Genomic DNA, 21203 nt, shown 5'->3' on the forward strand with positions numbered 1-21203 from the left:
GTTGCAGGCATAAAGTTTTTTTAACTTTTATTCCTCAAGTAATAAATTGAGGAAAATACAAATATGTACAAAATTTTTACAAAAGCTATCCATAAAAGGGCAAGTAGTAATATATAGAAAAGATCTACCAGATTAGTAACAAACTACCCCCATTAGGAAAATGGTAAATGATATGAATAGGAAATTCAAAAAAAGAAGAATTACAGATTTCCAATAAGCATAACTTAAGATATACACTGATATTGTAAGGAAACACAATCACCACAACCTTGCTAATCAAAGAAACTAATGATATTTATTGGAAAATAATGGGAATTTTTAATAGACTGGGTTAGAAGACTAGAAGTGTACGTCCCAAAATATTAATAGTTCAGCTGTAGGGTGAGATCACTGATTTTAATTTTCTCCTTTTATACATTTTTCCAGATTTCTCTACAGCAACTACGTATCATTTTGTAATAAATTTTAATTTTTCGATGCACAAAGCAATTGCCTGGAATTGCAGTTCGATATGAACCCAGGAGTTACGCTTGTAAAATAAACTATTGCTGATGTGACATTTCCATTTCTCAAGCAGACTGTAAATTTCTCAGATGTAGGTCATCATGTTATAATTAGGGTTCCATTGCTCATGATCTAGATGAAACACTTCTCCCTTTCTTGTGGTCTCTTCATTAATTTGGTCCCTACCGCAAAGGCAGGGGGATTAAAAATAAAATATCTTTTGACACTGGTTGGCAGGTGTACTAACACGTGTGCGGGAGGATTCCTGTTCTCGGCATGGTTCACGCCGGGCTCCGGCAGCGCCCTAGTACGTAAGGGGCTGCACTGGAGTGTGGACTGCCCGGTATCCTTAGAGAAAGTTTTGACAGTGTGACGCCAGTGTCGCCTCTAACCACGTACAAAACGCGCCATGCATTGGGTAGCTATTACAGTGCACATTTTTGTGCAGGAAGCTACCCCACCAGCGCAAGTATTTCAGAATCAAGATCGCACTCCCGTTTCCCCTTCTAGGGAAAGGATTCCAGATAAACACTGAGAAAACAGATTTAATATCTTAGGTCAAAACTCCAGGTCTTCCCATAGGAAGGCCCCTGGGCTGTCATTCTGAGGTGCCTATTTCCCCCGCGCCGTGTCCACGTCCACGAGTCCACGAACCCTCCGAGTTCTCTCTCCTCACCTGCCGAGGGCTCGCCCCTCTAGCCCCGCCCCGCCCCGCCCAGGACGCGTGACGTCACAACAAGCGCCGTGCGCCCCGCCCCCCATCGGGGGCAACCATTGTTCCGCCGGTCGCGCCGGAGCTGGGTTGCTCCTGCTCCCGTCTCCAAGTCCTGGTACCTCCTTCAAGCTGGGAGAGGGCTCTAGTCCCTGGTTCTGAACACTCTGGGGTTCTCGGGTGCAGGCCGCCATGAGCAAACGGAAGGCGCCGCAGGAGACTCTCAACGGGGGAATCACCGACATGCTCACAGGTTAGCACCGGGCCGGGCCCCGCTGGCTTTCTTCTTTCCTTCCAGCCTCTTCCCCTGCCTTCCTTCTCTCCCACACCGACAGTCCAGTGGGTAGGGTAGGTTCCTTGCAGCGGGTCGTCTTCCGTGGGGATCTCCCTCCGGCGCCCCTGGCTGGTTGTCAGTCCTGCCGGCTACACCTGGGCCATCGCTTGGGCTGCTTTTGGTCTGGCCCTTGGAGGAAACGGGTGGTCACTGTCTCTTAGAGGCTGCCATATCCCCTTCCAGAAAACAGTTCTCGTTTGTTTACTCGTGGTTCTTGTTCACCCGAGCCTTCTGTTGCCTTTCAGAACTCGCAAACTTTGAGAAGAACGTGAGCCAAGCTATCCACAAGTACAATGCTTACAGGTGGGACAGTGCAGCATTCTCGGGTAGCATACGTTCTGGGATACCCTGTTTAGTGTGGCAATTAACAGGACTGAGGGCCCAGTGGATATTTGGTCCATCTGCAAGAGCGGGAAAAAGCAAGAATCGAGGCTGGTACCTTACTATTTCTTGAAGAATGTGGGCAGTGCGTTATAGGATCAGTTCAGATAAGTTCCCAATTCTGATTGCAGATAGCTGTAGCCTGATACGTATTTTGTCATCATCAAACATGAATTACTAGAAATGCGGTGTAATTTTAACCGTAATGAAAGACAGCGGATGAAGTCCATACTGTGAAATATATGTGGTTCAAGGAATCACATTTTTTCTTTTGGTTGGTCTAAAGTTGATCCTGTGGGATCCTGATCCTGATCCTTGTTCCTTGTTCATGGGATCCTGTCCTTGTTCATCTCACCAGGGGCCTTATCCTATTCATTCTTTCCACATCCACCTGCTTCTACTCCTTAGCCTATATTTATTTATTTATTTATTTTTATTTGAGACGGGGTCTCGCTGTGGTATGATCATGGCTCATTGCAGCTTCAACCTTCCAGCCTCAAGTGATCTTCCCATCTCAGCCTCCTGAGTGGCTGGGACTACTACAGGCGCACGCCACCACACCCAGCTAATTTTTTTTTCTTTCTTTTTTTTTCTTTTTTTTTTTGTAGAGACCGGGTTTTGCTATGTTGCCCAGGCTGATCTCCAACTCCTAAACTCAAATGGTCCACACACCTTGGTCTCCCAGAGTGCTGGGATTCCAGGCATCAGCCTCGGTGTCAGCTCTCCTTAGCCTATAAATATGTGCAAGTCCCTCAGCTCTTAAAAGCAAAACCAAAACAATCTTAACTTCCCTCTAGCTAGCACCTTCCCTCTTTTCTCACTTTATGGTGAATCTTCTTGAAAAATCTTCATTCCTTGCCTGGACTTCTTAATACCTAATCATTTACTCAAGAAGTCCCAGTCCTTGCCTGGACCTACCAGTGCTCTGAAAATCCGCTCACCTACGTCTCATCTTATTGGACTCTCTGTGGCATTCACCCCTGGCTCATGCTGTGAATATCTCTTGACTTCTGTAATGGCACTCTTTCTGGTCTTTCATCTCTTCTTCTGTCTTACCTTTTAATGTTGGTATAGGTTGAGCATCCCTAATCTGAAAATTTGAAATGCTCTAAAATCTGGATGATTGCCGACATGATGACACAAGTGGAAAATTCCACATCCGATCTCATGTAGTAGGTGGCAGTCAAAATGGTCAAAACTTTGTTTCATGCACAAAATTATTAAAACGACTATATAAGATTACCTTCAGGGTATGTGCGTAAGGTGTGTGAGAAATATGACTGAATTTTGTATTTAGACTTGTATCTCCCATATCCCTAAGATATCTTATTATGTATACGCAAATATTCCAAACCCTGAAAAAAATTCAAAATCTGAAACAATGCTGGTCCCAGGCATTTCAGATAAGGGATAGTTAACCTGTGGTTCCGGGGAGTCTGCCTGCCCTTAGCCCTCTTTTCTTACTTCTGTAGTTTCCCTGGCAATCTTGCCATTCTTGACTTTGAAATGCCACTTATGTCAGTGACTCCAAATCTGTGTATCACTGGACTTTTTTCCACATTTTTAGCCCTATACTGTCTTTATCCCAAGTCAGCTCCCTTCTTCCATTCCCACTCCACACAGTTCAGAGCTGATTGTGCTCCCTCCTTTCCTTACTTCTGTGACTTCCTCTGTAAAGTAAAATAATTGTATTATCATCCATACATTTGATGATTCAAAATTACAGAGATATTCAACTTTGTATTCTATTTGGATCACAGCAGGTCTCAGAAAGGAGGTGTTTAGTTTGAAGAAGCTCATCGGGATAAGTGAGAGGGCCAGCAGTCTAGACAAATAAAATGTGCCAAAGCATTGAGACATGAAGGGTATAACGTTTTCTGGAAGTCAGATGTTCAGTTTGCTTAACGGGTATGGTATGAGTGGGAAATAAGTCTGGAAAAGCAGGTGATTCCCTACCACTCCTGCATGCTCCTCCCTACCCCAGTAGACATTTCTGTTGATTGTGGCCAAAGTATTCTTTTGAAAATAGTTATCTGATCTTGTCAGTCAAATAATTAAATAATATTTTCTCTTTACCTTGATAAAACCCAAATACATCATAGCATACAAAAGGCCTTTCATCTGATTCTTCTTCCCTTTTAGGCTTTGCCTCACAGTGCCAATGACCTGGAACTACTTGCCTTTCCTGAAATGATCCCCTCCATAAACTGTGTTTGCCTGCTCCTTTACTTATAAATATGTCTTTTCAGATTCATCATCAGTCATGTGCTTAGAGAGAAGTTCAAATCCAAATATAAAGGGTTATTTGTGCTATAACAGAATGCAAATCCAAGGTTCCAAAGACTATCCAGTGTTTATGCTTTTGACTTAGCTGTACTGTCACTTCTCATCAGCATCAACTCTGAATTACATTTTGCATTGAAATTATAGACAGAATACCGTCAGCGAGCTCCCAGGGTGTATCCAATCTGTCACCAGATTAACAAACTGGATATGTGTGGAGGTGGGCAAGAATTACAGGTCACCGCTTTATGCTGAACTGCAGTGGGAACAATTTTTTTTTTCTGTCCATAAGTTTATTGTCTTTATCTGAAAAATCCTCGTAGAAAATTGTTTGGTTTAGCTCTCTGCAGCCCCCTCCTGAGCCGTGGGGAAGCTTGCCTTCTTTTGAGCTATGCGATCTTTCTTCTGAGCAAGGGACATTTTGGGATGGTTCCACCTCTTTTTAACTTCTTTCTTGAGCTTCTTTTCATAGACTGGATTCTCTCCTATAGCAGCATGAGCTTTCATCTCCTTCATCATGTCTGAAGTTATGCTATTCTTTATGTATTGAGAGAACTGTTTCTTGTAAGCATCTTTATCTTCCATTAAGTAGTGCATGTAATCTGCAACATTCTGGCCTATGTTGTGCTTCTGGTGTAATTCTGCATTGAATTCCTTGCTTTCAGAATCATAACCAGGGAATCATTTGGTACTTTGAGGGATAGACAAGCCTCCATCCAGGTCACCAAAAACTTTATTGCCAGTGGTAGTTCTGGCAAGGCCTGCATCCAAATAGCAGGTGAAAGCACCTGGCTGACCATCAATGCTTTCTACATTGTATTATCGCCAGTCACCTCCACTTGGCCTTCATAGATCTTGTCCATGCCAAACCTATTGAGAAGCCTGTGGGCCAGCAGCAGGCCAGTACAATATGTTGCAGCATAATTTGTCAGGCCAACCTTCACACCATATTTTGGCAGTTCGTGTGCATATGCTGCGCAGACTATCATATCCCCCTCTATACGGGCATAAGCAATCTGACAATTGATATCTCTGTTTGTTATATGAACTATCATCCTCTATTTGGGTGTGTTGTATTTATTTTTATCCTGTATTACCAAGCGTTTCTGAGCATAGTAATCAGTTTTACCATCTTGTCATCTTTAAGTTTCATTTGGTATCTCTTAAAGTAGGCCTTATTCTTAACAACTTTAACAAAGTCCATCCTGTGGAACAGAGACCTGCAGGCCCAGCAGCACTAGGGGGTGGAAAGGCGGGAGCAATTTTTAAAAACTGATGTAGGGGCCAGGCACAGTGGCTCACGTCTGTAATCCCACCACTTTGGGATGCCAAGGCGGGTGGATGGCATGAACCCAGGAGTTCAAGACCAACCTGGGCAACATAGCAACATCCCATCTGCATTAAAAAAAAATAAATTGATATAGGGACATAAGGGAATGCAGTTTGAAACTATGAATTTTAAAATAGCTATCCAAGGGCTGCGTGTGGTGGCTCATGCCTGTAATCCTAGCACTTTGGGAGACCGAGGCAGGTGGATCATTTGAGGTCAGGAGTTGGAAACCAGCCTGGCCAACATGGTGAAGACCTGTCTCTACTAAAAATATAAAATTGGCTGGGCGCAGTGGCTAACGCCTGTAATCCCAGCACTTTGGGAGGCCAAGGCAGGCAGATCACGAGGTCAGGAGATCGAGACCATCCTGGCTAACATGGTGAAACCCCGTCTTTACTAAAAATGCAAAAAATTAGCCAGGCGTGGTGGCGGGTGCCTGTAGTCCCAGCTACTCAGGAGGCTGAGGCAGGAGAATGGCATGAACCCGGGAGGCGGAGCTTGCAGTGAGCCGAGATTGCGCCACTGCACTCCAGTCTGGGAGACAGAGCAAGACTGCGTCTCAAAAAAAAAAAAAAAAAAAAAAAAATATATATATATATATATATATATACACAAAATTAGCCAGGTGTGGTAGCATACACCTGTTATCCCAGCTACTCAGGAGGCTAAGGCAGGATAATTGCTTGAACCTGGGAGGCAGAGGCTACAGTGAGTCAAGATGGCGCCACTGCACTCCAGCCTGGGTGACTCCATCTCAAAAAAAAAGTAACATAGGTATCCATAAGCAGATCTGGTGTCTAATAATTCACATGTGGCACATTTTTATGAGGAAGTTATGAACAATTTCTAAAAACTAGCTATTTTAAAAAAGGGGGCCCAATGATGATTTCTACTTACTCCCAAAGAAAGACAGCTGGTCTCCCCATCCCTTGAGTATTATGTATACAGTTTAAATCACTTTGTTACTCAGCACAAATCAAAACAAATCACTTTGTTACTCAGTACAAATCATACTCTTTGACGTATAGAGTTTAAATTCAGTTATTCTCAAATGTGGAGCTTTTCAAGATACTTTAAAAGTTAGACGTAGGCCAGGCGTGGTGGCTCACGCCTGTAACCCAGAACTTTTGGAGGCCAAGGTGGGCAGATCACAAGGTCAGGAGTTCGGGATGAGCCTGGCCAACATGGTGAAACCCTGTCTGTACTAAAAATACAAAAAAATTAGCCAGATGTGGTGGCGCATGCCTGTAATCCCAGCTACTCAGGAGGCTGAGGTAGGAGGATTGCTTAAACCTGGGAAGCGGAGGTGACAGTGAGCTGAGATCACGCCACTGCACTCCAGACTGGGCGACAGACTGGGCGAGACTCCGTCTCAAAAAAAAAAAAAAAAAAAAAAAAAGTGGCCGGGAGTGGTGGTTCACGCCTGTAATCCTAGCTGGTTCACACCTGTAATCCTAGCTTTCTTTGGGAGGCTGAGGCGGGTGGATCACCTGAGGTCAGAGTTTGAGACCAGCCTGGCCAACATGGAGAAACCCTGTCTCTACTAAAAATGCAAAAAATTAGCCAGGCATGGTGGCGGGTACCTATAATCCCAGCAACTTGGGAAGCTAAGGCAGGAGAATCGCTTGAACCCCAGAGGCGGAGGTTGTGGTGAGCCGAGATTGCGCCATTGCACTCCAGCCTGGGCAACAAGAGCAAAACTCCATCTCAAAAAAAAAAAAAAAGTTAGACATATATTAGGTGGTCTGTCAGCTCATCTGATTTTTAAGTTCCATATGGAGGTAGAAAATTAGGCCAGGCGCAGTGGCTCACTCCTGTAATCCCCGCACTTTGGGAGGCCAAGGCAGGTGGATCACGAGGTCAGGAGATCGAGACCATCCTGGCCAACATGGTGAAACATCATCTCCACTAAAATACAAGAAGGCGCGCCTGTAGTCCCAGCTACTCGGGAGGCTGAGGCAAGGGAATCACTTGAACCCGGGAGGCGGAGGTTCCAGTGAGCTGAGATCGCGCTGCTGCACTCCAGCCTGGCAACAGAGGGAGACTGTCTCAAAAAAAACAAAAAAAAAGAAAATTAGTTATCTTGGTGAAAGCATAAGCATAGATATTTGCTTGTATATGTATTCCAGTTTAAGAAAAATTAAGGCCTTGATGGATTTCTAATTGGTTTTCCTTTTCTTCTTTCCTTATAGAAAAGCAGCATCTGTTATAGCAAAATACCCACACAAAATAAAGAGTGGAGCTGAAGCTAAGAAATTGGTAAGTTTAGTTAGCATGTTGATCGAAGAGTTCACACGTGTCCAAATTTGGTGGGTTCCCACCAAACCAAACTTGCCTGTCTGAAGCAGCCTTGACCCACACAGGCTGATTTCACTACTCCTGATTTCTTGGAATAACATTCATGCTGTTTCATACACACTTTTTCAAGCTCAAAATGTTTTCATTTGGGAGAAGATGGGTTAAAATTTTTAAAAATATATGTAATTACAGTTTTCTTTCTCTCTGTTACAATATATACATGTACTCACGTTGAATTTCAACTTGAGTGTTGGTTTTTAAGAAGAGTGACCAAGTGGCACTAGCATATCTGGTCCCACCTATTTTTCTCTGATCCCCAGGTGTAGGAACCTATGTGAGTTAGTGGGAGTGCGTGTTCCCCAGAGAGATCTTACTAATAAGCACATGATTAAGACCCTTTTGTTTTATGGCATTTAGCCCTGTTCTCTGTAATTTCCACGAAGCCTTGTGTACTGTGTCACAGTTTCTAGAGGGTCACATGCCTCGTTAATTTGTAATATAATACCCCTTATCTGAAATGCTTGGGAACAGATTATTTTGGATTTTGGATTTTTTTTTTGAATATTTGTATTTGGTTGAATATTCCTAACCCAAAAATCCGAAATCCAAAATGCTCCAATGAGCATTTCCTTTTGAGTGTCATGTCAGCACTCAAAATGCTTCAGATTTTGGACATTCTGGAATGTGGATTTTTGGATTAGTGATACTCAACCTGTAATATCACTGAGAATATCCTGAGATGGTCTATCTATTGACAATCAGATTGTTGTCTCATCTAAATCTTACTAAATGATTCAAAGTTCCTTAAATTTAAGGACCATATCTTATTCATCTTTTGTGAAAGATGTCAAATTATCATGGCTTTTTTGTTTGTTGGTTTTGAGACGGAGTCTCACCCTGTTGCTCAGGCTGGAGTGCAGTGGCACGATCTTGGGTCACTGCAGCCTCCGCCTCCAGGGTTCAGGTGATTCTCCTGCCTCAGCCTCCCGAGTAGCTGGGACTACAGGCATGCGCCACCATGCCCAGCTGATTTTTGTATTTTTGATAGAGACAGGGTTTCACTGTGTTGGCCAGGCTGGTCTCAAACTCCTGACTTCAGGTGATCCACTGCCTTGAGCCTCCCAAAGTGCTGGGATTATAGTCGTGAGCCACTGCACCCAGCCTGAGATGCCTTTTGAGTAGTCCAGGTCCTGATAGTTATCACCTCCTTTTGTTCTTTACCTATTAATGTTTCACAAATGTCCTCTGGAATTTAAGAATTAATATTTGATTATCTTTTAACCTTCTCAGGAGATGAGCCATAATTGCCCTTTTTTTTCTTTTTTCTTTTTTTTTTTTTGAGACAGGATTTTGCTCTGTCACTCAGGCTGGAGTGCAGTGGTGGCATAATCACAGCTTACTGCTGCAGCCTTGACCCTCCCAGCCAAGCAATCCTCCCACCTCAGCCTCCTGAGTAGCTGGGACTACAGGCATGCTCCATCACACTCAGATATTTTTTTTTTAATTTATTTCTTTTGTAGAGATTGGATCTTGTTATGTTGCCCAGGCTAGTCTTGAACTCTTGGGCTCAAGTGATCCTCCTGCCTCAGCCTCCCAAAGTGCTGGGATTACAAGTGTGAGCCACCATGACTGGACCATAACTGCCGTTATATTTTTGCCCTTCAGAGTCATAACATTACCATAAATCTTGGACATTGTGTGATTTAGTGACAGATTGTCCACATTCAACATGTGCCACATCTTAACCTTGACTTCGCTACTCAGTACAAATCATGCTCTGATATATAGGCTTTAAATCCTTGTGGCATAGACAGTTCTCAGCATCAGTATATCCTCCTTAAATAGACTAGCCAAGTAAGTTATAAATACATTAGACTTTAATTCTGAGTTTCTGTCTTGGTGAACTGACCCATTGATAGTCTCAGGAACTACTCCTGCTTCCATTCACTTCCTCTTTTATCCCTACAGTACTTCCTTTTTTATGTTTATTGCAAATAGCCTGCTCATTTCTTAGAGAAAAACTGAAAAGCTCTGATACACTTCATCTCAAATCTGCGCTTATGGTATATTCCTAAAAAGAATACAAAGGTATCCAAAATTCCTTTTGCATAAGACTGGTTGTAAAAATCTCATCATTATTCCTTTTCACAATTATTGAAGAATCACAGAGTTGCTATCTAGCCCATTTCTGGAATTACTCCTCAGTAATTCTAGAAATTATTCTAGAATTACTCCTCAGTAATTCTAGAAATTATTCTAGAATTACTCCTCAGTAATTCTAGAAATTATTCTAGAATTACTCCTCAGTAATTCTAGAAATTATTCTAGAATTACTCCTCAGTAATTCTAGAAATTATTCTAGAATTACTCCTCAGTAATTCTAGAAATTATTCTAGATTATCTAATCTATTCCTTCTTAGTAACGGAAGTAATAGATTCTTCTTAGATTATCTAATCTGTTACTTCTCAGTAATTCTAGAAATCTGAAATTTCCAGAATGAGTAGTTTGTCTTTTATTCCTTAATGTTTGGTATAGAAAGTAGCTTGGGTCTGAATTGCTTGAGGTCAGTATGTTATTGAGTAAAATTATTGTAGCACTATGTGTAAAGGGAAAAATAATTACCCTTTAAAAAAATATTGTGATACAGGAAATGAGCCTGAGCAGTTTCCTTTTTCTAATCTATTCTGCTTCCTAAATCTTTTGTTCATTTCTATCTGGTAATTGCTGTTTTCCAAACTTGAATATGCTTTCAGTAATTTGGGGACATTTATTAAACATTAAATAAATTAAGAATATTGATGAGTGAACCTAGGCCTGAGAGGCAGTAGAGATAACTGGCACACCTGTTATTAAGCATGCTGAATGTTTAACTAAAAAGGACAGGACATTTTTCAATACACATGAAAAAAAGTTCAATTTTACTGATACCAAAGTTGCAAATTAAACAAGACACTATATAGTGCCCATCAAATACATGCAGTGTGGAGAAAGATGTGAAAAAAAGGACCCTCATTTACTACCCATGAAAGTGTTGGTTGTTACAGCCTTTCTGAAGGCTGCTTTGTCAGAATGTATATATCGTTTGACCTAGCAATTCCACTTTGACGTATGTTTCCTAAGGAAGGTAATAGAGATATGTATCTACTAGGATTCATTAATTCATAATTTTTGATCACCTGTATGCCAGTCACTAGGGATAAAAAAATGAAAAGACAGGATCTCTGCTCTCCCAAAACTTAGATTCTAGAGAAGTGCTGCCCAATACAGCAACCACAAGCCACATTTGGCCATTGAGTTCTTGAAACGTGGATGTTGTGACTGAAGAATGGAATTTTAAATTGTAATTAATCTAAACTTAAATTGTCATATGTGGCTAGTGTACCATGTTGGAATGTGCAGTTCCAGAGCAGCGCTTCTTAGAACAAGGTGTCTAGGCCAGCAGCATCAGCGTCCCCTGAGAACTTAGGCATATTCTTGGCCCTACTCCAGACATGGTGAATGAGAAACTCTAGGGTGGGACTTACATTCTGTGTTTTAAGAAGTGCCCCCATGTGATGCTGATGTATGCAGGAGCTTGACAACCTCTGTTCTAAAGGAAGTTTATGAATATTATTATACTGTCAAATAATTGGAAACAATCTACATGTTTACCTGTAGGGTATTTGCTAATTAAATTATTATGCATTTATACAATGATATACTGTGTAGCCATAAAACAAAAGTTAATTTTAAATAAGATATAATTATTTTCTCAGAGTTTCCCTTTTGTCATTCATGTAAGCATTCTGTCTTCGGGAGAATTTATTTTCACTGGGGTTCAATTTTCTGTGTCCTTTATTTCAAACCTTATCACATGGTATTCATTTGTTTTTCATTTTCTGCTTTTTACTTTATCTTTTAGTGATTTGGTAAGCATTATATTCATATGACTTTTATATTTCTAATTTTCCATGTAGCCTGGAGTAGGAACAAAAATTGCTGAAAAGATTGATGAGTTTTTAGCAACTGGAAAATTACGTAAACTGGAAAAGGTAAAATTTTAACTTGTTTACTTCATTAATTATAGTATCTGCCTTTATGGCCACTATGTAGCGTCATTGCAGGGTGACCAATGTCATTCACTGTAGTGAGACTCACAGGAAATGAGGTGAGTGAAGTTGATGGCTTTAACTTTTTGAATGTTATTTCCATAAAATGTTCACTTGTTTTATGTGGCATTTAAGAGACTATTAACACCCGTAATAGAGTTGGCTCATCGTTTTCAGTACTATTCAGAAAAGAGATTATAAACTTTGACTGAAAGATCGTTATCTTTTAGAATTTCTTTATTTCTTTATTTATGTTTTTGAGATGGAGTCTTGCTCTGTCGCCCAGGCTGGAGTGCAGTGGCGCGATCTCGGCTCACTGCAAGCTCCGCCTCCTGGGTTCATGCCATTCTCCTGCCTCAGCCTCCTGAGTAGCTGGGACTACAGGCGCCCGCCACCACACCCAGCTAATTTTTTGCATTTTTAGTAGAGACGGGGTTTCACCATGTTAGCCAGTATGGTCTCGATCTCCTGACCTCGTGATCTGCCCGCCTCGGCCTCCCAAAGTGCTGGGATTACAGGCATGAGCCACCATACCCGGCCATCTTTTAGAATTTCTATGTTTACACTCTCCCAAGCATTTTTATGGTTTTATTTCACCCCATGATAGTAATTATATCACTTCTGATCTGTTAAGAATAGACCTTTTAAAAGTATTGGATAACTTAGAGATGAGACATCTTCAGTTACTCTGTTATTCACCTATTACTCCTTAGGTTACTTGTGAATAATTTTGTGTGGGTCACCCAGGCAAATGTAAATAGCTCTTCATGTCTTTTAGCAGACTGGTATGTTTCCAATAAGATCATTTAAGTCCTCAAAGCATTCCTAAATCATTGTTAGACTTTTTTTTTTCTTAAAGATTCGGCAGGATGATACGAGTTCATCCATCAATTTCCTGACTCGAGTTAGTGGCATTGGGTAAGAACTATTTTTTAAGCAGACACAATCGTCAGTTAGTTTATTTTTCCTGTTAGCCAAAGTAAATTACATGCTGTTTCTCAAAACCTGTACTTCACCACCTCTGTACCTTAGCCATACAGTTCACCCTTCCATAGCTTATGATCTGAGGCCGATTCTTCAGATAGTGTCTCTACTGTAAGGTCCCCATCCAAGGCAGATGTTACCTCCTTCATGAAACCAGTTTGGTTACCCAGGCAGAAAGAACCTCTCCCTCCTCTGAACTCCACTACCATTTCCTCCGTGTGCATCTATTTCCTGCTCCAGCTTGGCCTCTTTTGTTTCTCTGAGCATGATATTTATCATAGCACCTCATGAATTTGGAACAAGCCCTCAAGCTTTTTTTAAATTATTTTTTGAGACAGGGTTGCTATGTTGCCCATGCTGGTCTTGAACTCCTGGGCTTAAGTGATTCTTCCTCCTCAGCATCCCGAGTAGCTTGGATTATAGGTGCACGCCCCCTTGCCCAGCTTCAAGCATTTTTAAATGAAGGGATTATTATCTTAAAATTTGAGCTGGTACCAAGGTGGGCTTTTTTGACACTGGCTGAAGTAAAGATTAACATTGAAATATTAAGGCTTTAGTGCTCTCATCTTTATGGCATGGGGCATTCCTTTAAATATAATGATTTGTTCTTTAAATGGCAGCATTTTCGGTGAAAGTTATTCTAAAACATATTAAATTCTTAAACCTAGTATGTTGAAAATGAAAATGACTGCTTGGGGACTCAAGGCCATTATAAAATTTTCATTGGAAGAATTACAAAAATTTTTTTTTTTTTTTAGAGATAGTGTCTTATTCTGCTATCTAGGCTAGAGTGCAGTGGTGCTATTATAGCTCACTGTAACCTTGAACTCTTGGGGTAAAGTGACTCTCCTGCCTTAGTACTCCTTTTGAGTAGCTGAGACTACAGGCTTGCGCAACCATGTGTGGCCAATTTTTGTATCTTTTGTAGAGAAGAGGTCTCCCTATGTTGCCTAGGCTGGTCTTGAACTCCTGGCCTCAAGCCTTCCTCCCACTTAAGCCTCCCAGAGTGCTAGGATTATAGGTGTGAACCACAAGGTGTTTTAGAGAGCATCTATTATCCTTTTTTTCTAGGCAAGAGAACTGAAAGTTGAATATAGAACATGAGTAACCATGGCAGAGCCAGATTTGAACCCATATCTTCTGACTCCGAGTTCAGTTCTGTTTCTTCTATGCTGCATTGCCTTCCTAACATCAGTATCAGTTTCTATATCACAATATAATGTGATGATATTTGCATAGCTTACTGAATGATACAGGTTTATTTGTCCCGAAACACTGTGGCCCCAGACTATTGTGCTTGTATGTTTATATGTGTGTGTATGCATTTCTTTCTGTTCACCGCTCCTGCTTTATTATGCTGTAAACTGGTATGGTGAGAAGAGAGTCAGGAAATCTGGATAATGGTCTAGAGCTAGCACCAGCTAGATTTGTGACCTTAGCAAATCGCTTCATCTTTCTAGGTTTCAGTGTCCTTCCTTATGAAATAAGAGAGAAATTTGGTTAATCAGTAAGCTTCCTTCTGTCCCCATCCTATAAGAGCATCTTCAGTCATTTCTGACATTCTGATTTATTTATATGAATAAAGTGATATTTTAGAAACCTAAATCAGATTTTATCATTGCTTTGTGCAGTGTCCTCTAATAGCTTTCCATTGCACTCAGAATAAAATCCAAACCTATCACCATGGCTCTAAAAGCACAGTAGAGTGTAACACCTGCGTACTGTTCCATAGCACCTCATACCGTCACTTACATCACTCTATGCATCCTAGTTTTTCTCTTCTCTTGAACAGGCCAAGCTCATGCCAGCCTTAGGGCCCTTGCACTAATTGTTTCCTTTTCCCGAAACGTTTTTCTCTTTGATCCCCTAGATAGCTGGTTCTTTAGTCATTCAAACCTCAGCTTAGATACCATCTCAGAGACCTTCTACCACTCAGTCTAAAGTAGGACCCAGCCATTCTGTCATATTCTATTTTAATTTATCCATCTGATTTTTTCTTGTTTATGTAACTAACTATTGTCTCTATCTACCCACTTACATTCTTATTCCTGCTACATTTTCAGCACCCAGGAAAGTATCTGACACATAATGGCCCTCAGTAAATCTTAGTTCAATGAATGAACAGTTTTCAAGTGCCATCTGTACATGGGCACTATGACAGCAGCTGCTTAGACATCCTTTTTATGTCTGAATTCATAGTTGTCTTCCTAATGATTGAAGCTTCAATAATTCGTACTTCGGATACAGTTGAACATTACCAAAGTAGCCATGCAACATTTTAGCAGGTCTTGTTTAGCTTAATAGCAGCTCTTCTTACTATTAAGACATGGTTGTTACAAGGATCCCAAGTTTCACCCAATGTTGAGATAATGCTTTTGTTTTTGTAGTCCATCTGCTGCAAGGAAGTTTGTAGATGAAGGAATTAAAACACTAGAAGGTGAGTATGACTGTAGGTCACTAATTCCAGATTAAATATGGTCCTGAAGGACCATTAGTGCTCTAACAAACTTCAACTTGAAAAACCCATTCTCAATCAGTAGATACAAAAGATAAGATTTTCTTTTTAACTCTGTAGTACAGTAGATATAGGGTATAGTTTATATTACCATCATAAACATTTTTAGGTTTGTAACTAACTCAGAGAAAACTAAGAAGACCAAGAACCAGGGCCAGGCGCGGTGCCTCATGCCTGTAGTCCCAGCACTTTGGGAGGCGGGTGGATCACTTGAGGTCAGGGGTTCGAGACCAGTCTGGCCAACATGGTGAAACCCCATCTCTACTAAAAATACAAAATTAGCCGGGTGTGGTGGCAGGCACCTGTAATCCCAGCTACTCAGGAGGCTGAGGCAGGAGAATTGCTTGAACCCGGGAGGCAGAGGTTGCATTGAGCCGAGGTGGTGCCACTGCACTCCAGCCTGGGTGACAGAGTAAGACTCTGTCTCAAAAAAAAAAAGAAGAAGACCAAGAACCAACCTCTTGACTTAAAAGCAATGAAATAGTTATCGTTTGCAAATTTTTCAAATATCTAAATTGCCTTTATTTCTTTTTTTTTTTTTTTGCTCTGCCTCCCAGGTTCATGCCATTCTCCTGCCTCAGCCTCCCAAGTATCTGGGACTACAGGCTCCCACCACCACACCCGGCTAATTTTTTTTTGTATTTTTAATAGAGACGGGGTTTCACTGTGTTAGCCAGGATGGTCTCGGTCTGACCTTGTGATCTGCCCACCTCGGCCTCCCAAAGTGCTGGGATTACAGGCGTGAGCCACCGCGCCTGGCCCCCTTTATTTCTTTAATAAAATTTTAGGCAATAAAATCTTAGATTAAAAGCTAAGTTATATATTACTGAAAAAGATTCTGTAAGAGATTTGTAATGGTTATTAAAGGAATTTTTGCTTTCAAAGAAAAGATAAAAATAGAACCTAACAAGTAATTATAAAACGTTTTCCTTAAATATAGTAATCCTTTACATGTAATTTATCTCTTTATACTTTTCATGGGTGTATGTATACATATGGATTCATTACAGCATATCCATGGCATTTGGGATTTAGTATTTGTGAGTATTTGCAAGCAGCCCAGTGGTTAGGTAGGCAGGTTTTGGAGACTGACCTGGCTTTGAATCCCACCTCCACTACTTTATTAGAGTGGGATGACCTTATTGCGTCAGTTTCACACCTACAAAATGGGTATTTCTGCTTCGTACAATTAAATGCAATAATATATGTAAAGCACTTAGCAGAGTGCTTGGTACCTAGTACTACTTAAAAATGGTAACCAACTCTTATGAGGCATGATTAGTAGTATTACTAAGTTAAGAATTTGTGTGAGCCACATTGCTAGAGAATGAACTCTACATGTGCATCTCATACAGGGTTTATGCTTTGATGCCTGTGGTATAGACAGCTTATATGAGAGAATTGATTGGCTAAAGGGGTCAAGAATCTGTGGGTTTCTTGGAGGTATTGAGTTGCATCTCTTGGGAGTGTCAAGGATCTACTGTTGTGGTTTTTATATTTCACAATTCACACATAAGGAATACAACTGTTGATATCTATAACTATATCTGTCTAACATACTCAGTATTTCCACTTCTTCAGTTTTAGTCGTATACTTTAGCGTTTTCTGTGTGCACATAACCATAGGAAATATTAAGTGCTCTATATTTCATAAAGATGCTTATTTTTCTCGATTTTATATCTCCAGAGGGAATGTGTATATTTGTGGCTATAAGGGGGCTTGTAGGAATTGCTTTTGAAGCATGCTTATCTTGCTGTTTCTTTAACAAGGCTCACAGCTGGATTCATGCCCAGTAAAGGGACACCTGAATGGAACTGAGTCACTTTTAGACTTAATATGGGATGTTATGACAATTCTTAAGTTAAAAAATGCAGGTACAGTAATAATTTTCCTTTCAATGGAATTTTTTTTTGTTTTGAGACACAGTCTTGCTCTGTCTGCCCAGAAGTACAGTGGCGCAATCTTGGTTCACTGCAACCTCCGCCACCTGGGTTCAAGTGATTCTCCTGCCTCAGCCTCCTGAGTAGCTGGGATTACAGGCGCGCACCACCATGCCTGGCTAATTTTTGAAGTTTTAGTGGAGACAGAGTTTCACCATGTTGGTCAGGCTGGTCTCGAACTCCTGACCTCATGATCCTCCCACCTCAGCCTCCCAAAATGCTGGGATTACAGTCATGAGCCACTGTGCCCGGCTCAACAGGATTTTGAGCACAATGACTGCACAAATCTACTACTCAGTGCTAATGGAATGAAAGAGTGAAAGAACAAATAAACTATGAATAAACCTAGTTAATCAGAAAACATTCAGAAGTTATGGTTACTACTGTTGCTCTTAACAATAAATTAAACCACTATAGTCAGTAAAATTTGGTGTGATTCTGTTTTTTTTTGTTGTCGTTGTTGTTTTTCGAGACGGGGTCTTGCTCTGTTGCCCAGGCTGGATTGCAGTGGCGCAATCTCGGCTCACTGCAGCTTCCACCTCCCAGGTTCAAGCGATTCTCTTGCCTCAGCCTCCCAAGTAGCTGGGATTACAGGGGCACACCACCATGCCTCGCTAATTTTTTGCATTTTTAGTAGAGATGGGGTTTCACCATGTTGGCCAGGCTGGTCTCGAACTCCTGACCTTGTGATCCGCCCGCCTCGGCCTCCCAAAGTGCTGGGATTACAGGTGTGAGCCACCACGCCTGGCCCTGAAGAGTCACTTTTATCTAGCTCTTCATATCTGAAATTTTTGTCTCATTGTGTTTTCAGTCATTTCAATGTATTTGTTCCCCAGGTGGTTCTTTATAAAAAGGGTCATTGAGTTTAGCATTTTCCCCCCAAAAAGCATTTAAATTAACATGTCAACTTTATTTATCTTCTATACAGATCTCAGAAAAAATGAAGATAAATTGAACCATCATCAGCGAATTGGGCTGAAGTAAGATGGCAGATTTTCTTTTGACACTTGAGATATAAAAGTAAATTTTTTATAGACATTCTTTTATACACCAGAAGGACTCTTCAAACTTAGCTAAACCACAACCATTTTCCTATTCAGAAGTGCTAAGATTTGTGGACTCTTACAGAGTATCTGCCTGTGTTCACACAGTGCTTTCACTTTTGCTTTCTAGTTTACTTGTTTTGAGGATTTCCCTTATTCTTTTGACTTTAGCAGGGAACTTCCTCTTAAAATACCTAGGACTGAGTGTATCAGGCAGTCAGCGGGTGTTTATTTCATGCTCACATTGTACAAAGCACTACACTAGGTCTAGGGTAAAGATACAGAGAGGTTGAGTGTAGCTTTTAAGAAGTTTATAGTCTACCCGAGAAGGTAGGACATGAATATGAAAAACTAAATTTAAAAAAAGGACAAACCTCATACCTAAATAACCATATAGGAATAACTACTAGGCATGTTTCTATATCAGCATCAATAATTATTTTGTGTGCCAGATATAGTCTGGGAACCCCTTTTCTAATTATTTACAGTTATAGTGCATAAGCACTATATGTATCTCTTCTGGCATTATATAGTGTTGTGAGTGATTCAGTCCTAATTACCTTTTGAATTTTCCTGTTGATGCTTTACCATAATATTTTAAACTTATACTCCCATTCCAAAATCTTGAGCCAGTGAGAGACCTGGATGGTATGGTTCTTGCTCTCCTGGCATTTCTGTAGTAAATGGAGGTGTTCTGAAGAACTGGTTTGCTGAGAATTGGCTGTGAATAGGTGCTTCATCATGCTGAAGCATATGCTTAGTTGCTGTTTCACACTGAATTTCCTAACAGCCTTATTGAGATGTAATTCATATGTCCTGTAATTCATCCATTTAAAATATACAATTCAGTGACTTTTAGTATATTCACAGAGTTGTGCACAGTGTAGGAACCATCACTACAGTCAGTTTTAGGACATTTTTGTTATCTCAGAAAGAACCCTGTACCTATTACTAGTCATTCCCCCATTGCCTCCCCTTACCCCCACCTCAGACCTAGGCAGCTGCTCATCTACTTTCTGTCTCTACGGATTTGCCTATTCTGGACACTTAATGTAAATGAAGTCATACAGTATGTGGTCTTTTGTGACTGACTTCTTCCACTTAGCATATTGTTGTCTGAGTTTATGTTGCAGGATAGTATTTGAAAATATAATTTTGCAGGATATAAGAGCGGTAAACTGTAACCCCTTGCCTTGTCAGTAGACAGCAGTTTACTTTGAAAATAATGCCCTAACTTAAATATATTTATTTACTCTTGTTACATGAACACATAGTTTATTTACAAATAAGTTTAGATGGAGCCTTTGAAATATTACAAAGAATGACACTTAAGGATTTTTATCCAGTTTAGGAATAAACCTCCCCCCATTCACTCCACCCCCAATTTTGCTGTTGTCATCTCAGTGAATTCATTCTAGCCTTGATTTGTGAGAATGATCTGCTGGTATGGCACGGACAATTGTTATAAAAGGCAATTTAATTTTTAAGGAGATTTAAATTTTACGAAAATCTTTTGTCTACTTATTCTGTCTTTATAGATATTTTGGGGACTTTGAAAAAAGAATTCCTCGTGAAGAGATGTTACAAATGCAAGTAAGATGTGTCAAATTATATTCTTTGATTAGAATTGAGAGTGTCACTTGGTGAAAAGCCATTTTGGGAATACTGACTTAATTTTTCTTCTATTAGGATATTGTACTAAATGAAGTTAAAAAAGTGGATTCTGAATACATTGCTACAGTCTGTGGCAGTTTCAGAAGAGGTAACATACTTCCTAATCTTGGGTTATTTTTGCCCTGATGTTAAAATTGCCTAATATATGGGAAGAATTTGGATTAAAAAGATGTAATTTGTGGTACTTCATAGACTCACTAAGACCTAGTAGTATTAGTTAAGGGTATTTGTTTATAGATGGGAATATGTAACTAGGGGAAATTCATCCTGATTTTATTATAGGATGATATTTTAATGACTAGTTTTAACGACGTTTATTAAATGACTTTAAGTATATTGAAATGCTAGTAATGGTTGTCTTTGGCCTTTTGGCTGGATGATAGTGAAGTTGTGGGTAGTTTTGTTAATTTACCTTTCTTTTTCCTTTTTTTTTTTTTTTTTGAGACAGAGTCTCACTCTCTCGCCACGCTGGAGTGCAGTGGCACCATCTCGGCTCACTGCAACCTCCGCCTCCCGGGTTCAAGTGATTCTCCTGCCTCAGCCTCCTGAGTAGCTGGGACTACAGGCGTGTGCCACCATGCCCAGCTAATTTTTGTATTTTTAGTAGAAACGGGGTTTCACCATGTTTGCCAGGATGGTCTCAATCTCTTGGCCTCGTGATCCACCCACCTCGACCTCCCAAAGTGCTGGGATTACAGGCGTGAGCCACTGTGCCCAACTGCCCAAGTTTTCTATAAGAGAGCTAAGAATAATGTCTTAGAAGTACCAGTTCAAAACCAATTCTTACAACAACCGGGTTCATCAGAAGAGTTCTGCTTAGTGTGTGAATGTGAGCAAAGTAAGAACCATATAATCCTGGTGTCTTACTGGTTTAAAATATTGAAAAGCTCATACATGCTTAAAAATATTAACTTTTGGCCAGGCGCGGTGGCTCACGCCTATAATCCCAGCACTTTGGGAGGCCGAGCCGGGCGGATCACAAGGTCAGGAGATCGAGACTATCCTGGCTAACACGGTGAAACCCCATCTCTACTAAAAATACAAAAAATTAGCCAAGCGTAGTGGTGGGCACCTGTAGTCCCAGCTCCTCGGGCGGCTGAGGCAGGAGAATGGCA

At 40.7% G+C, this 21203-nt stretch overlaps 1 protein-coding gene and 1 pseudogene across 12 annotated transcripts in view; one reads left to right on the forward strand and one right to left on the reverse strand.

Moving 5' to 3' along the window:
- Window positions 1-1277: 1277 nt before the first annotated feature.
- Window positions 1278-21203, forward strand: part of POLB (DNA polymerase beta) — a 33315-nt gene continuing 13389 nt past the window's right edge. For 3 of the 12 annotated variants that reach the window (XR_428311.4, XM_005273535.5, XM_005273536.5), the window contains exons 1-10: window positions 1278-1469; window positions 1796-1853; window positions 7737-7803; window positions 11800-11874; window positions 12791-12849; window positions 15303-15352; window positions 17201-17305; window positions 18300-18351; window positions 19953-20007; window positions 20104-20176. Coding sequence is in view for 11 of the 12 variants with exons in the window: in XM_005273535.5 (XP_005273592.1) it covers window positions 1409-1469; window positions 1796-1853; window positions 7737-7803; window positions 11800-11874; window positions 12791-12849; window positions 15303-15352; window positions 17201-17305; window positions 18300-18351; window positions 19953-20007; window positions 20104-20176 (655 nt within the window). In the remaining variant the exon portion in view is untranslated. Of the gene's footprint in view, window positions 1470-1795; window positions 1854-7736; window positions 7804-11799; window positions 11875-12790; window positions 12850-15302; window positions 15353-17200; window positions 17306-18299; window positions 18352-19952; window positions 20008-20103; window positions 20177-21203 lie in introns of those variants that run through there. The other 9 variants (NM_002690.3, XM_005273537.5, XM_005273538.3 and 6 more) reach the window with 8 other exon arrangements.
- Window positions 4493-5467, reverse strand: RPL5P23 (ribosomal protein L5 pseudogene 23; annotated as a pseudogene).

This window comes from Homo sapiens, chromosome 8 (assembly GCF_000001405.40).
Source record: "Homo sapiens chromosome 8, GRCh38.p14 Primary Assembly".
Taxonomy (NCBI): Eukaryota; Metazoa; Chordata; class Mammalia; order Primates; family Hominidae; genus Homo; species Homo sapiens.